Source organism: Homo sapiens, chromosome X (genome assembly GCF_000001405.40).
Source record: "Homo sapiens chromosome X, GRCh38.p14 Primary Assembly".
Classification (NCBI taxonomy): domain Eukaryota; kingdom Metazoa; phylum Chordata; class Mammalia; order Primates; family Hominidae; genus Homo; species Homo sapiens.
The window spans coordinates 80,411,833-80,427,230 of record NC_000023.11 but is presented as its reverse complement, the minus strand read 5'-3'; the positions used below and the strand labels follow the sequence as shown (position 1 = coordinate 80,427,230).

The following is a 15,398-nucleotide window of genomic DNA, read 5'->3' as shown; positions in this document are numbered from 1 at the left end:
TATAACAACTTACCAAGTTTTACATTGAAGTTAAAAATTGCTAAGAGTTACCATTATAACATGTAATTAAGTCTACTGTATTAGTCTGTTTTCATGCTTCTGATAAAGGCATACCTGAGATTGAGAAGAAAAAGAGGTTTAATTGGACTTACAGTGCCACATGTCTGGGAAGGCCTCAGGATCATGGTGGGAGGCGAAAGGCACTTCTTACATGGTGGCAGCAAGAGAAAATGAGAAAGAAGCAAAAGTGGAAACCCCTGATAAACCCATCAGATCTCGTGAGACTCATTCACTATCATGAGAATAGCACAGGAAAGACCAGCCCCCATGATTCAGTTACCTCTCCCTGGGTCACTTCCACAACATGTGGAAATTCTGGGAGATACAAGTCAAGTTGAAATTTGGGTGGGGACACAGACAAACCATATCAACTACTGAAAATGGATTTACGTGCAAGGCGTGTGAAAACAGTAAAATGTGTTTTTACTAAAAAATTGTAAGAAGGCATGGAAATGTACATTTTGCCTAGGGATAAAGAATTTTCTTAAATAAAATAAAGCAGAAGATTTAAGCAAACTGTGGAAAAACTGTATGAATTAATCTTACCATGAAAACTCTGTATATACATGTTAACTAAATTCAAAGGAGTATTACATAGATTTTTCTTTAAGTTAAGCATTAAAATAAAAGCACAACAAGGTTTTCTTTTCAGTAAAATTTGTAAAGGGTTATAAAAGGTTTGTAAAAATCTCACTTCATGATCAAACCAGTGAAAATTAAATATAATTGTCCACAAGGTTTCATTAAAAATTGGGGTTAACATTAATAGTAAACTAATGCAAGGGTAAAATTTGGCTTTCTCTCTTGAACAGGATTTTTGTGTAATACTAAAGGCTAATAAAAGGCTTTTGATTTTTCAAATTTTTAAGTCATCATTTTAGAAAAATAAATAACTTATGGTAATCTAAAATTCCATTTCATAATATCAAGTGTTTTAAACCAATAACATATTTAATGGGCTTCCCAAAATAAATAGACTTTCCTAACACCTAGCTTTCGGATGCTACAGCGGGCCCCTAGAGCATCCAGAAAACAGGTAAACAGAATTATTAAAGATGTTTAAATACATGGAATTGCCAAAGTAATGTTTAATCTTCTTCAGGTTATATTTCAGTAAATATTATTATTATTATTATTATTTTTTGAGATGGAGTCTCACTCTGTCGCACAGGCTGGAGTGCAGTGGCGTGATCTTGGCTCACTGCAACCTCTGCCTCCCGGATTCAAGTGATTCTCCTGCCTCAGCCTCCCGAGTAGCTGGAATTACAGGTGCCCACCACCATGCTCAGCTAATTTTTGTATTTTTAGTAGAGACAGGGTTTCACCATATTGGCCAGGCTGGTCTCAAACTCCTGACCTTGTAATCCGCCTACCTCAGCTTCCCAAAGTGCTGGAATTACAGGCATGAGCCACTGTGCCCAGCCTTCAGTAAATATTATTAACATATGTTCTAAAACCATATGGGATGTCTAAAGTTCTAATGTTTAAATATATGCTATCAATTATAATTGAAATTATCTTAAACTGTTGTAAACCACAAAAATAACCAAATTTCTTTGACAATTGTGTTTCTAACTGTAAACACCCTGATCATTTTGTCATTTAAGACAATTGTCTTGTTTTAATCCTCTTCAAAAAATGTTTTAAACTCAGCTGTAAAACTTTAACAGGTGCTTTCAAATGCAGGTATCTAATAATGGAAAAGCATACAGGATTCATAAAAAGCTGAAATGTTTATAAATATCAAGCAAAACAAGAGTTAACTGAATGGACTGAACTCATAAAAAGCTAATATAATCTTTTTAACTTTTGCTTAAAATATTGCTAATCCTTGTTTTTCAGTCAAGAAAACTTATTTTAAACTAGATACAGCCTTTAACAATTAAGTGAGGTATACTCCTGAAAGCAAAATGTAAAACATGTTTGTTTCTCTCTGCCTGGTTCCTCTAAAATTCAGACACTACATGTAAGCATTCTTAACTTCTAACAATATATTGTTTGCATCAGTGCAATAAGAATGCATTTTCTTTTGCAACAGGACAATTTAAAAACTGGTGTTTTGCCAAGGGTTTAACTAAAAGGATGTGTTTCCCTTTAAGAAGTCAAGCTTAACTTGAAAAGCCAAAAAAAGCCCCTTGGAAAAATTGGCCTTATACTTTGTCTACACAGTCCCTGTACAGGGTTCTTAATCTGTGGTGAGTAAAAAAGTCATTTTCTAACAGGCCCAGAACACCATGCTCTTGAAACCTCAGAAAAAAAGGAGTTTACCCAACTCACAGGTATTTAAGGGTGCAAACCCATGGCTGGGCTCAGCTTTAAAAAGTCCTATCTAAGATTCCTTGTAAAACAGAGTTCCATCAAAGCCCATCTAAAAGGCCTATGTAAAGGTAATTATTCTTGCTGCAGTTTCTGTAAATAATCAGGCCAAGTATGAGACTAAAGTCTATTTTGCAAACAACACAATCTTATCATAATTTGTTTTTAACAAAAATGAGGACTGGAGAAAAAATTATGTTTCAAAAGTTATCATACAGCTGTCATTAATTTCTAGTCTCAGTAGTTGTTTTCAAGTTCTTGCCTACCTACATTTTAAACTAACCCTATTTCTGTAAATCAACCAGCAATCTCCAACTACCACTCAAAGGAAACAAAAGGGAATGGGTAATGTAGAAATCGAAAACAATACTCTAGTTCTGGGCAATTATCCCACAAGTCCTGCCAGGTAATAAAAGTAAATAAAGTTCGCATAACCCACAAGTTTCTTTGTTTAAAAAGTAAAACCAAGAAAGCTAACCGAAGCCAAGCCCCATGAACCCAAATCTTAACACGCATAACTAGCCATCACTTAGCCTTGGAATTTTTAAGCTTCTTTACCTCCATCCTTGTTTCATTTTAATACATGTACTCTAATAACCCACATTGTTTCTTCTCATCTAACGGCTATCAAGCTACAAATGGTAATGCAAAAGGAACCATGCATAAACATGCCTTTCTTCCAAGGACCCTTAAGCCAGCCCCAAAAGAAACCCTAGTTGCTGTTCCCCACACAACACCCATCTCCAGCAAAAAGTAGCTAAAAAAAAAAAATCAACGCTTAATCTCCCTAACAGCAGTTAGGGTCTCCACTCCTGAGGGGGAGAATAAGAGAGAAAAGGTGGCAGTTAGGGTGGGCCCTTGGTAAAACTCCTGTAATTGGAGAAACAGCCTGAAAAATCAGGCTGCAGGCACAGATAAGAAAACTTGCACAAACCTCTGGCCCACTCAGATAAAGAAACAAGGCCCAACCTTTGTTCTTTGTGCCTAAGACATGCCTGCAGCCACGGTAATAAGAGAACAAGACTCTGCATAGAAATGTCTTTGTCCTTTGTATAACCAGCAGGCTTCCAGGAAATAGTCTCTTCTCCTTATGTGGGCATGTACATGGGGTGCTCCAGTAGGTTCTGGTGGGCACTTTTTTTTTTTTCTTTTCTAAACATGCTTTAAACCGTAAGCTCGGCCTAAATAAATCATTGCTTCAGCTCCTAATTGGTCCCAGGGCCAAGGTCTTTGGCCAAGCTTTCACTTCAGCTTCTACTAGGTCCTGGGCCAAGCTAGGTAGCCCCAATAAATCATCACTTCAGCTCCTGATTGGTCCCAGACCAAGCTAAATCACACTTTCCTCAAAACAGCCTGCAAACTATGCACATTCCTTCCCATCCCGGTCCATAAAAACCCTGAACCCCGGCCTCATGGTGGGGAACCCCTTTGGGCCCCACTGTCTGCTGCAGAAAGCGTTCTTCTTTTGCTTATTAAACTTTCACTTGAAATTCACCCTTGTGTCCACGCTCCTTAATTCTCTTAAATATAAAAAAAAAACTCTGGATACTATCTCAAACAACAAAATACTGCTACATATTTTGCTTCATTGGGAAAACTACAACAGTAGTACTACTTCCCCTTCCTACTCTTCCTCTGCCCCTTCCAGTGGCTGTAGCTGGTAAAGATTTATAGCTATGTGAATTCAACAGTCACCAAGTGAGCTTCTCTTGCTTCTGATGTAAATGATGCAGAGTTGCTGCCTCTCCAAACTGCCACCAATTTCAGAGAAGCAAGCTGGCCAGAGAAATCTCCAGCCCCTTTTGAAGGGAATCGCTGAGAATACTCTGAAGTACAACAGGCTTTCAAGCAAGCTGGGAGGTAAAGCCACCTAGTGAGACCAAAATGCCATTCTCTCTGCACTGGATGCTGTACAACTCGCCATGACCCTCACAGTAAACCCAGTAACCTCATAAGCTTTATCCACATCATTCCAAATCACTAACCCCTCTGTGGATAACCCTGTCAACACTCAAGGAATTAAGTATTCTCTGAAGGGGACTCCAGAATTATAGCCAACACCATATACATCTTTCACATCCCTCTTAAACACTATCTGAGGAAGGAGAAAAGTAGAAACTCATCCCAATGTTTCTAGAAAAAGCCTTTTACTAACAAAAAAAACCCAAAAAACTTCTGTTCATAGCTCTCCCCGTCTACTCACCGCACCCTCTCAGACATTAAAACTTACCTCACCAACTGCTGCTCTCCTCAAACCCATCCCATCAAGGAGAAAAACTACAGGGGTGTGGTGTTAGCGTGAGGCTCAGGAGGGAGCCTGCTAGTAGGCAAGCAAGAGAAGGGGCCATTAAAGAAAGATAAAATGAAATGCAATTTTTTTTTTGAGACATAGTCTAGCTCTGTTGCCAGGCTGGAGTGTAGTGGCGCGATCTCAGCTCACTGCAATGTCTGCCTACCAGGTTCAAGCGATTCTCCTGCCTCAGCCTCCCGAGTAGCTGGGATTACAGGCATGCGCTGCCATGCCCAGCTAATTTTTGTATTTTTAGTAGAGACGGGGTTTCACCATGTTGGTCAGGATGGTCTTGAACTCCTGACCTCGTGATCCACCCACCTCAGCCCCCCAAAGTGCTGGGATTACAGGCATGAGCCACTGCACCCAGCCATGAAAGGCATTTTTTTAAAGGGAGAGAAATAAAGAAAGAAGGAATCATATGGATTCTACCTACCCTAGGTGGGGTGATCTCTTATTACTTTCCATTCTCCTTCATTGCTGAACTTTCTCCCATGGGATACTACTACCTTTCTCCTTTCCTATACCAAAAACTATTTTCCCTTTTTTTCTTATAAATAATGACTTGCCCCATGAATTCCCAACCTCCCACTCAGTAACCTCCACTTTTTTTCCCACCCCCCGACACACAAATAACTCCTCCTTCTCCTCACATTTCTTCAAGCATTTCCAACACAAATACAAATTTAAGTTCACGCTCAGAAGGCAGTTTTGCTGAAAGACGTGGCATTTTTTTCTAGTCACTTTTTTCCTTAAGTCTCCTTATCATGGGGAAGTCCCCTCCCTCATTTCAACACCTTCTACTCTTAGTTTGGCTACAGATATTCAGGTCCTCATATTTTCTCTCACATCTGCAGTTAATTTTCATAGGAGAAAAAGGGTGAATGATAATGGCATTCTTTAAAGAAACAATTTCAAAATGCAGTCTTTGCTATTTTAAAATACAATTGGCTTAATAAAATCCATTCAGTTTATGATTAATTTGATTATTTTTCTAAACTTTACTTGCATTAAATTGTTCTACTAGAGGAAAATAAGGTAACTTCACTCTTAAGGTACTTAAAAGCTATACAAGTGAGGCCAGGCACGGTGGCTCACGCCTGTAATCCCAACACTTTGGGAGGCCGAGGCGGGTAGATCACGAGGTGAGGAGATCAAGACCATCCTGGCCAACATGGTGAAACCCCGTCTTTACTAAAATACAAAAAAAAATTAGCTGGGTGTGGTGGTGCATGCCTGTAGTCCCAGCTACTCTGGAGGCTGAGGCAGGAGAATCGCTTGAACCTGGGAGGCAGAGATTGCAGTGAGCCGAGATCATGCCACTGCACTCTAGCCTAGTGACAGAGTGAGACCCCATCTAAAAAACAAACAAACAAACAAAAACTATACAAATGAGATAAGACATGAGTGCTTTAAAGGAAAAAAAATAATCTGAAAAGGAAGTTCAGGACTATATAAAAAAAATACAGATATGTAAACATGCTTGATTACCTGACAATAACTTTCTTTCACTGGTATGTAGTAATTAAAAACATTTGATATCAAAAAAGGAATTAGGTATAGTCTTTTAATACTTCACTTCAGAAACAAATTAAAGTTTGAAAATAATCCATCATCAGGCTATTTATTGAGATGTCAATGTGTCAGTCAATTAATGTAGGACGTAGGGAGTTTTGTAACTCTCTTACTCTAGAGTTCTGAAAAAACATAATTCTTAATACTATATCAACGTATCAGTTATGTCTTTTATCTCTTACTCTTGAGCTAGTTCAGAAAATAAAATATTAAAACAATTATTGATGCCCTTTTAAACATATTAACTGAGTTCAGTTTTACCACAGCCATGATTTTGGGCACAGTTATTAATGAAAGAGATAATTTTCAAAGATATTTTAGTTGAATCAAATAAGTTTCTGGACAAAATATAAATTAAACGTCAATTTTGATGTGTGCTCAGAGTTAAAACTAAAAGAAAAACTCCCTTTCTACAAGATTGCTCACCGTGTCTTCTGATAGTAGACTTTGCTGAATTTAACAGTCTTACTCTGAAGACTAACATCCTTTACCAGAGTTCTGCATCACCTGATCTCCACACATTCTCTACACCTCACTTGCTGCAATTCCAGGGTTACTGTTGCCAGGAGACAAGGAATATTATTATTGCATCATTAATGCTCTTATAGATGGGGGAATTTTCAAAAAATAAATTTAAATAGGGCAATTCTGAGTCCCAAATCTCAAAAAAGACAATGTTATACTAGATATATTAAAGATTAAAAACAGGTTCCTCAAGATACTTGAACTTAAGTTAAAAAATAGTGAAGAGGGAGGAAGGAGAAAAAAATAGTGAAAATAACCAGTTAAACCATGCAGATTCACACAGATAGGCAAACATTTTTGTTTTGTAAGTATTGTAACTGCCTACATGTAACTTCAAAATTAAGTTGTAATTTCTGAAATACAGAATTTGGGAAAATATTCTCTATTTAATTTTTACCCCCAAGTGAACATGTTTTTGTTTTAAAAAAAATTCTTAAACAATTAAAAAGAGGCTGGTCATGGTGGCTCATGCCTGTAATCCCAGCAATTTGGAAGGCTGAGGCTGGAGGATTACTTGAGCCCAGGAGTTCAAGACTAGCCTGGGCAAGATAGAGAGACTTCGACTCTATAAAAAATATAAAAAGAAATTAGCTCGGTGTGGGGATGCATATCTGTCATTCCAGCTACTCAGGAGGCTGAGGTAGGAGAATTGCTTGAGCCCAGAAGGTCAAGGCTGAAGTAAGCCATGATCACACCACTGCACTCCAGCCTGAGAAACAGAGCAAGCCTTTGTCTCAAAAAGAAACAGTTAAAAAAGTATTATGGTTGATAAGTATAATTGTTTTGAGTGCCAACAACTAATTTTTAAAAAGAACATTTAAAAGACAGAGTTCTTCTCAAAATAATGTTTTGTTACAGTATGTCCAATTTATAGAAACTATCACATAACTGTTTGAATAAGAATATCAAGATTACAAAGATAGGCAAATAGGTAGATATAGGAAGAAAATTGTCTGGCTAAGCCAGTGATCCATGTGATATTTTTAAGATAGATAATTTATAGCATTTTCCAGTAAAACATAGAAAAGACTAAATACATTTTGGAGGGGCCAAAGGTAAAACAAGATACCTACTCAATGTTTTCCTGGCAGTATAATATATGACAAAGAAATAAATAATTTTTAGTAACATTTAAGACTATAATCCTAATCCTTGTATATAAAGAATGTTACACTGGAGTTTAATTTTAAAGAAAAATATACGTGTACAGTTTCTTAAAGATATGAAAATTACATTACATGATATATATAATACTGAATATAAGTTTTTAATTTTAAACTTTTGAGTGTAGAATTTTTAAACATAATTAAATGGCAATGATAACTAAAAATTATATGATGCTTATAATGTGTCAGGTATTAAGTGCTTTAATTAACTCAATCCTCATTCAAAAGAATGTGAAGAATAGAGGTAGGGTCTATGATCCCATTGAAAAAAATAAAAAACAAATTATGCAAAGAAATTCATGAAAAGAGTAACAGATAAAATGGACATGATGAACAAAGAGTTAGCTAGCTAGGTAGGGGGTGGAGGAGGGGTTTTAAGTAGAATAAGAAATCAGATATTTTGTAGGGTGCCATTTAATATACAAGCAAGGGTTATTGGAAAGAAATCTGAAAATGTCATAAGGCAGTTTCATTAATCAGCAATAATGAATTCTGTAAAGTACTACATGTTTAAAATAAAATACATATATCAGATATAGGTCAAATTCTAAAATAAAATACATATATCAGATATAGGTCAAATTCTCAACTATCTTTTTATAAAGATTTAAAAATATGTCTTTTACCAATATAAAAAGTCAAAACAGTATAATAACAAAGATAGTACAAGTATCAGTGAGAAAGAAGATAGGAGGAAGGAGTTTTGGGAGAAGAAAAGACAAAACAGAAGTCAAAAGACAACTACTGCTAAATAGCTGTTTAGCAATCCAAATATTCTGGTTTCATCCCCATTCATTCCAAAGGTCATAATTCCCAATTTGACCAATAGTGTCATTCTCTTTTGACTCATTTTGGATACATATACTTTTTAAATCAACCAGAGTTTTGGGAGGCTGAAGCAAGAGGATCTGTTGAGGCCAGGAGTTTGAGACCAGTGTGGGCAACATAATGAGACCCTGTCTTTGAAAAAAAATTTAAAAAATTAGTTGGGCATGGTGGCATGAACTGGTAATCCTACCAATTTGGGAGGCTGAGGTAGGATTATCACTTGAGCTCAGGAGTTCGAGGCTGCAGTGAAGCATGACTGCCCCACTGCACTCCAGCCTGGGCAAAAGAGCAAGAACCTGACTCAAAAAAAAATCATTAAAGATCCCTTTTCAAGTAAGAATGATTTTTATGTTACTGAGTGAATTGTGGCATTTTAGGGCAAAAATGAGGAAATAATCTCAGAGCTCAAAGACTGGTTCTCTGAAATAACTCAGTTGGAAAAAAATTTTTAAAAATATTAAAGAAGTATAAATAAAACCTCCAAGAAATACAGGATTATGTAAAGCGACCAAGTCTACACCTGATTGGCACCCTTGAAAGAGAAGGAGAGAAAGCAAACACCTTGGAAAACCTATTTCAGGATATTGTTCATGAACATTTCCCAAGCTCACTAACAAGGCTAACATCTAAATTCAGGAAATGCAGAGAATCCCTGCAAGATAATATACATGATGACCTTACCCAAGACACAAAGTCATCAGATTTTCCAAGGTTGAAATGAAAGAAAAAATGTTAAAGGAAGCTAGAGAAAATGGAGCAGATCACCTACAAAGGGAACTCCATTAGGCTGACAATAGATCTTTCAACAGAAACCCTAAAAGCCAAAAGGCACTGGAGGCTTGTATTCGGCATACTTAAATAAAAGAAATTCAAAGCAAGAATTTCATAGCCAGTCAAACTAAGCTTCATAAGCGAAGGAAAAATAAGATTCTTTTCAGAAAAGCTAATGCTAAAGGAATTTATTACCACCACACCTGCCTTAGAAGAGGTCCTGAAGATAGGGCTAAAAGTGGAAAAAAAAAAAAAAAAACTATTACCAGCCACCACAAATACACACTTAAGCACACAGATGACTGATACAATAAAGCAAACACACAAACAAATCTGCATAATGAATAGCTTATAACATGATGATAGAATGAAATCTGCACATATCAATATTAACCTTGAACATAAAGGCTTAAATGCCTCAAGTAAAAGGTACAAATTGGAAAGTTGGATAAAGAAACAAGATCCAATGGTATGCTGTCCTCAAGAGACCAATCTCACATATAATGACACCCAGACTCAAAGAAAACAGATGAAGAAAAATCTTTCATACAAATGGAAAATAGAAAAAAAAAGCAGGGATTGCTATACTAATTACAGACAGAACAGATTTTAAAGCAACAAAAGTCAAAAAGGAGAAATCAGGAAATGATATAGTAGTAAAGGGTTCAATTCAACAAAAAGACCTAACTATTCTAAAGATATATGCACCCAACACAGGAGCACCCAGATTCATAAGGCAAGTTCTTAAAAACCTATAAAGATACTTAGATAACCACACAATAATAGCAGGAGAGTTCAATGCCCCACTGACAGTATAAGAAAAATCATTGAGGCAGAAAACTAACAAAGTTATTCAGGACCTGAACTCAACACCTGACCAAATTGACCTAATAGACATCTACAGAATTCTCTGAAAAACAAGAGAATATAAATTCACAGCTGCACATGGCACATACTCTAAAATTGACCACACAATCAGCCAAAAAACAATCCTCAGCAAATTCCAGAAAGAAAGAAAGAAAGAAAAATTCATACCAACCACATGTTCAGACCACAGCACCCCCCACCCCAAACAGACATCAATACTAAGAAAATTGCTCAAAACCATACAGTTACATGAAATTCAACCTGTGCCTGGATGACTTCAGGGTAAACGAGGAAATTAAGGCAGAAATCAAGACATTCTTTGAAATTAGTAAGAAAAAAGGGACAACATACCAGAATCCCTGGGACACAACTAAAGCAGTGTTAAAGGGAAGTTTATAACACTAAACGATGACATCAAAACGTTAGGAAGATAAAAAAAAAAAACCAACTAACATAACGTAAAGAGGAAAAATAAAAACAAAAGCAAATTAACCTCCAAACCAGCAGAAGATAATACCATAATCACAGCCGAACTGAAGGAAATTCAGATGCAAAAAAAAAAAAAAAAAAATTCAAAATATCAATGAAGCCAGGAGTTGGTTCTTTGAAAGAATAAATAAGATAGACAACTACCTAGATTAGTAAAGACAAAAGAGAGAATATCCAAATAAACAAAATCAGAAATGACTACAGGGACATTACCACTGACCCAACAGAAATACAAAAAAAAAAGAAAAAAACCTTGAGTACCTCTACACACACAAACTAGAAAACCTAGAATAACTGGATAAATTCCTGTAAACATACAACAACTGAGATTGAACCAGGAATAAACTCAATCCCTGAACAAACCAGTAATGAGTTCTAAAATCAAATCAGTAATAAAAAGCCTAAAAATCAGAAAGTACAAAGACCAGACAGATTCACACTGAATTTTATCAAATGTATAAGGAAGAGCTGGTGCCATTCCCATTGAAACCAGTCCCAAAAACTGAGGAGGAGGTGCTGTTCCCTAACTCATTCTATGAGGCCAACAAGATCTTGATAACCACAAAACGGCAAAGTCAAAACAAAAAAGAAAACTTCAGGCCAATATCCTTAATAAACATGGATGCAAAAATCCTCATGAAAACATCAGCAAACCGTATCAAGCAACACATTAAAAAGTTAATCCATCATGATCAAGTAGGCTTTATCCCTGGGATGTAAGGTTGGTTCAACATATGCAAATCAATAAATGTTCACATAAACAGAACTAAAAACAACAACAACATGAAAATCTCAATAGATGCAGAAAAGGCTTTTGATAAAATTTAACATCCATTTATGTTAAAAAATCTTAATAAACTAGGTATTGAAGGAACATATCTCAAAATAATAACAGCCATATATGACAAACCCAAAGCCAATCATACTTAATGGGCAAAAGCTGGAAGATTTCCCTTGCAAACCAGAACAGGACAGGTATGCCCATTCTCAAGACTCCTATTCAACACAGTACTGGCAGTCCTAGCTAGAAAAATCAGGCAAAACAAACAAACAACAAAAAAATAAAGGGTATCCAAATAGGAAGACAGGAAGTCAAACTATCACTGATTGTTGATTATATTATTCTATACCTAGAAAACCCTATAGGCTCTGCCCAAAAGATTCTTGATCTGATAAACAACTTCATCAAATCTTCAGGATACAAAACTAATGTATGAAAATCAGTAGCATTTCTCTACACCAACAACATCCAAGCTGAGAGCCAAATGAAGAATGCAATACCATTCAAAATAGCCACAAAAGGAATAAAATACCTGGGAATACATCTAAGCAGGGAGGTAAAAGATTGCTACAATGAGAATTACAAAACACTGATAAAAATATCAGACATAATACAAAAAAGGAAAAGCATTTCATGTTCATATATAGGAAAAATCAATATTGTGAGAAAGGAAAATAAATCTTGGGACCCCAAAATCACTAAGTTAAAGGGAAAAGTCAAGCTGGGAACAGCTTAAGGCAAACCTGTTTCCTATTCTATTCAAAGTCATCCCTCTGAGGCTCACTTGAGACAAATCCATATCTCATTGCTTCCTCTCCCCTATTCTTTATGTAAAAATGCAGATTCACTGAGCCAGATTAAATTATGTATTCAGTGGAAGGCTGATCAAGGACTCACAATAATGCAACCTTTTGTCTCTTATCTACTTCTAACCTGGAAACACCTACTTTGAGTTGTCCCACCTTACAAGACTGAACCAATGTAAGTCTTACACATACTGACTGTAAGACCTGTCTTATGTCTCCCTAAAATGTATAAAAACAAACTGTACGCCTGACCACCTTGGGCAGATGTCTCAGGACTTCCTGAGGCTGTTGCGGGCACGTCCTTAACCTTGGCAAAATAAACCTAAATTGACTGAGACCTGTTGCAGATATTTGGGGTTCACATTTTGGTGGCCATGAAGGGATTCTGAGTGGAGGTGCCCCTGATCTATGACAAATCTATCAGTACCAGCTTGAGCTATCTTTATGGTTCAAACCAATAGGACAATTTTCTGAGGCCTGGAAGCTCCCCCTCCAGAGAATCCCTGACCTCCCAAGCTTTAGTCAAGATCTAAAGTTTATTTTACTGTACAACTCCTTCTTTTTGGAGTTTTACTTGCTGCCAACAACAAAGGCAAGTCTTCCTGCTTTCATGATGGAAGGCAGGTAACTCCTTCCTGGAGTTTGAGTTTGCTTCCAACAGGGAAGGAGAGTTTGAGTTTTTTCCTGCTTCTAGGATGACAGAGAACAGCTTCAGACCCATCCCAAGGTAAATACCTGAATTGGAATTTTGTTTTCACTAAAGTTAAGATTAACAACCAGCTGATCTTCATTTCTCCTTACCACTGGAGTGCTCAGTAATCACATAAATTGTGCAATTCTTTGCTTTGCTTAACTATTTTTTTGTTGTTTGCTTGTTTCTGTTTTTGTTGTTGTTTTGGTCTTTTTCCCACTGGGTTTGACCAACTCTTTCTGACTTGATCAAATCCAAAGGAAAGCTCCAAATTATGTGTGTATTAGTTCATTTTCATGCTGCTGATACATACCCGAAACTGGGAACAAAATGAGGTTTAATTGGACTTACAGTTCCACATGGCTGAGGAGGCCTCAGAATCATGGTGAGGGTGAAAGGCACTTCTGATGTGGTGGAGGCAAGAGAAAAATGAGGAAGAAGCAAAAGCGGAAAACCCTGATAAACCCATCAGATCTTGGGAGACTTATTCACTATCACAAGAATAGCATGGGAAAGACCAGCCCCCATGATTCAATTACCTCCCCCTGGGTCCATGCCCCAACATGTGGGAATTCTGGGAGATACAATTCAAGTTGATATTTGGGTGGAGACAAAGCCAAACCATATCATTTTGCCCCTGGTCTCTCCAAATCTCATGTCCTCACATTTCAAAACCATGTCTTATGAATCTATAAGGTCTACTCCTAACTACATGTCGAATATGTCTATGTATTTACGCATCAAATATATGATGTTTCACCATTAAAAATGTATAAAAGAACTATAATTGGCTTTTTAAAAAGGTGCTTAAATCAAATACTTAATCAGAAATATAGAGACTTTAAGCCAAATGCTTTTTCAAGTTCACATGGCTTAACTAAATCTTTAATAAATAATATGGTTTTAAAAATTTGGTGAAATAGAATTAGAAATGGCTTCACAATTGTCAGCATACGTTATTTATCTCTGCTAGATGTCAAAATTTGGTATGAGGGTTATAAATCTGTAAATGTGGCTCAAAAGAGAATTATCTTTGTTTACATAAAATTTAATAAATAAGACATTTAACATTGGTTGGTTAATGAAAACAACTAAATCTTGACTTACTGGCAAAAAAAAAATATAGTAACACCAAAACAAAAACCCCACATTTATCTAATTTTAATGTTCTTACTTAGGAAAACCTGGAATCCACAGGTTATATAAATGTTTAACAAGAAAACTTTAAACTTTAAATAACTATCATATTTTTCATAAGTAATCTGGGTAAACTATTAAAAAATAATAATTAATTATGACAAAAATGCTGATAGTGATATGAACAATAAGGTCCAGGCTGAGGTGGTCTCAGATGGGGATGAGGAACTTGTTAGGAACTAGAGAAAAGGTGACTCTTATTATGTTTTAGCAAAGTGACTGGCAGCATTTTGCCCCTGCCCTAGAGATTTGTGGAACTTTGAACTTGAGAGAGATGATTTACGGTATCTGGCAGAAGAAATTTCTAAGCAGCAAAGCATTCAAAAGGTGACTTGTGTGCTGTTAAAAGCATTCCATTTTAAAAGGAAAACAGAGCAAAAAGTTCAGAAAACTTTCAGCTTGACAATGCAGTGGAAAAGAAAAGCCTGTTTTTTGAGAAGAAATTCAGGCCGGCTGCAGAAATTTTCAGAAGTAGCAAGGAGCCTAGTGTTAATCCCCAAGACTACAGGGAAAATGTCTCCAGGCCACGTCAGAGACCTTCGTGGCAGCCTCTCCTATCACAGGCCCGGGGGCCCAGGAGGAAAATGTGGTTTTGTGGGCCAGGTCCAGGGTCCCCCTGCTGTGTGCAGCCAAGTGACTTGGTGCCCTGTGTCCCAGCTGCTCCCCAGCCATGGCTGAAAGGGGCCAACGTACAGCTCGAGCTGTGACTCCAGAGGGTGGGAGCCCCAAGCCTTGGCAGCTTCCATGTGGCATTGAGCCTGCAGGTGCACAGAAGTTAAGAATTGAGGTTTGGGAACCTCCTCCTAGATTTTAGAAGATGTATGGAAATGCCTGGATGCCCAGGCAAAAGTTTGCTCCAGGGGTGGGGCCCCTCTGTTAGGGCAGTGTGGAAGGGAAATGTGGGGTTGGAGCCCCCACACAGAGTCCTTACTGGGGTACTGCCTAGTGGAGCTGTGAGAAGATGGCCACCATCCTCCAAACCCCAGAATGGTAGCTCCACTGGCAGTTTGCACCATGTGCCTCGAAAAGCCGTAGA

General features: G+C 37.1%; 1 protein-coding gene across 2 annotated transcripts in view; it reads right to left on the bottom strand.

The window, feature by feature from the left end:
- Window positions 1–15,398, bottom strand: part of TENT5D (terminal nucleotidyltransferase 5D) — a 109,806-nt gene that overhangs the window by 18,079 nt on the left and 76,329 nt on the right. The window contains exon 1 of one of the 2 annotated variants that reach the window (NM_152630.5): window positions 6,668–6,784. The exons of the other annotated variant lie outside the window; for it this stretch is intronic. The gene's annotated coding sequence lies outside the window, so the exon portion shown is untranslated. Of the gene's footprint in view, window positions 1–6,667; window positions 6,785–15,398 lie in introns of those variants that run through there. 2 annotated transcript variants of the gene reach the window in all.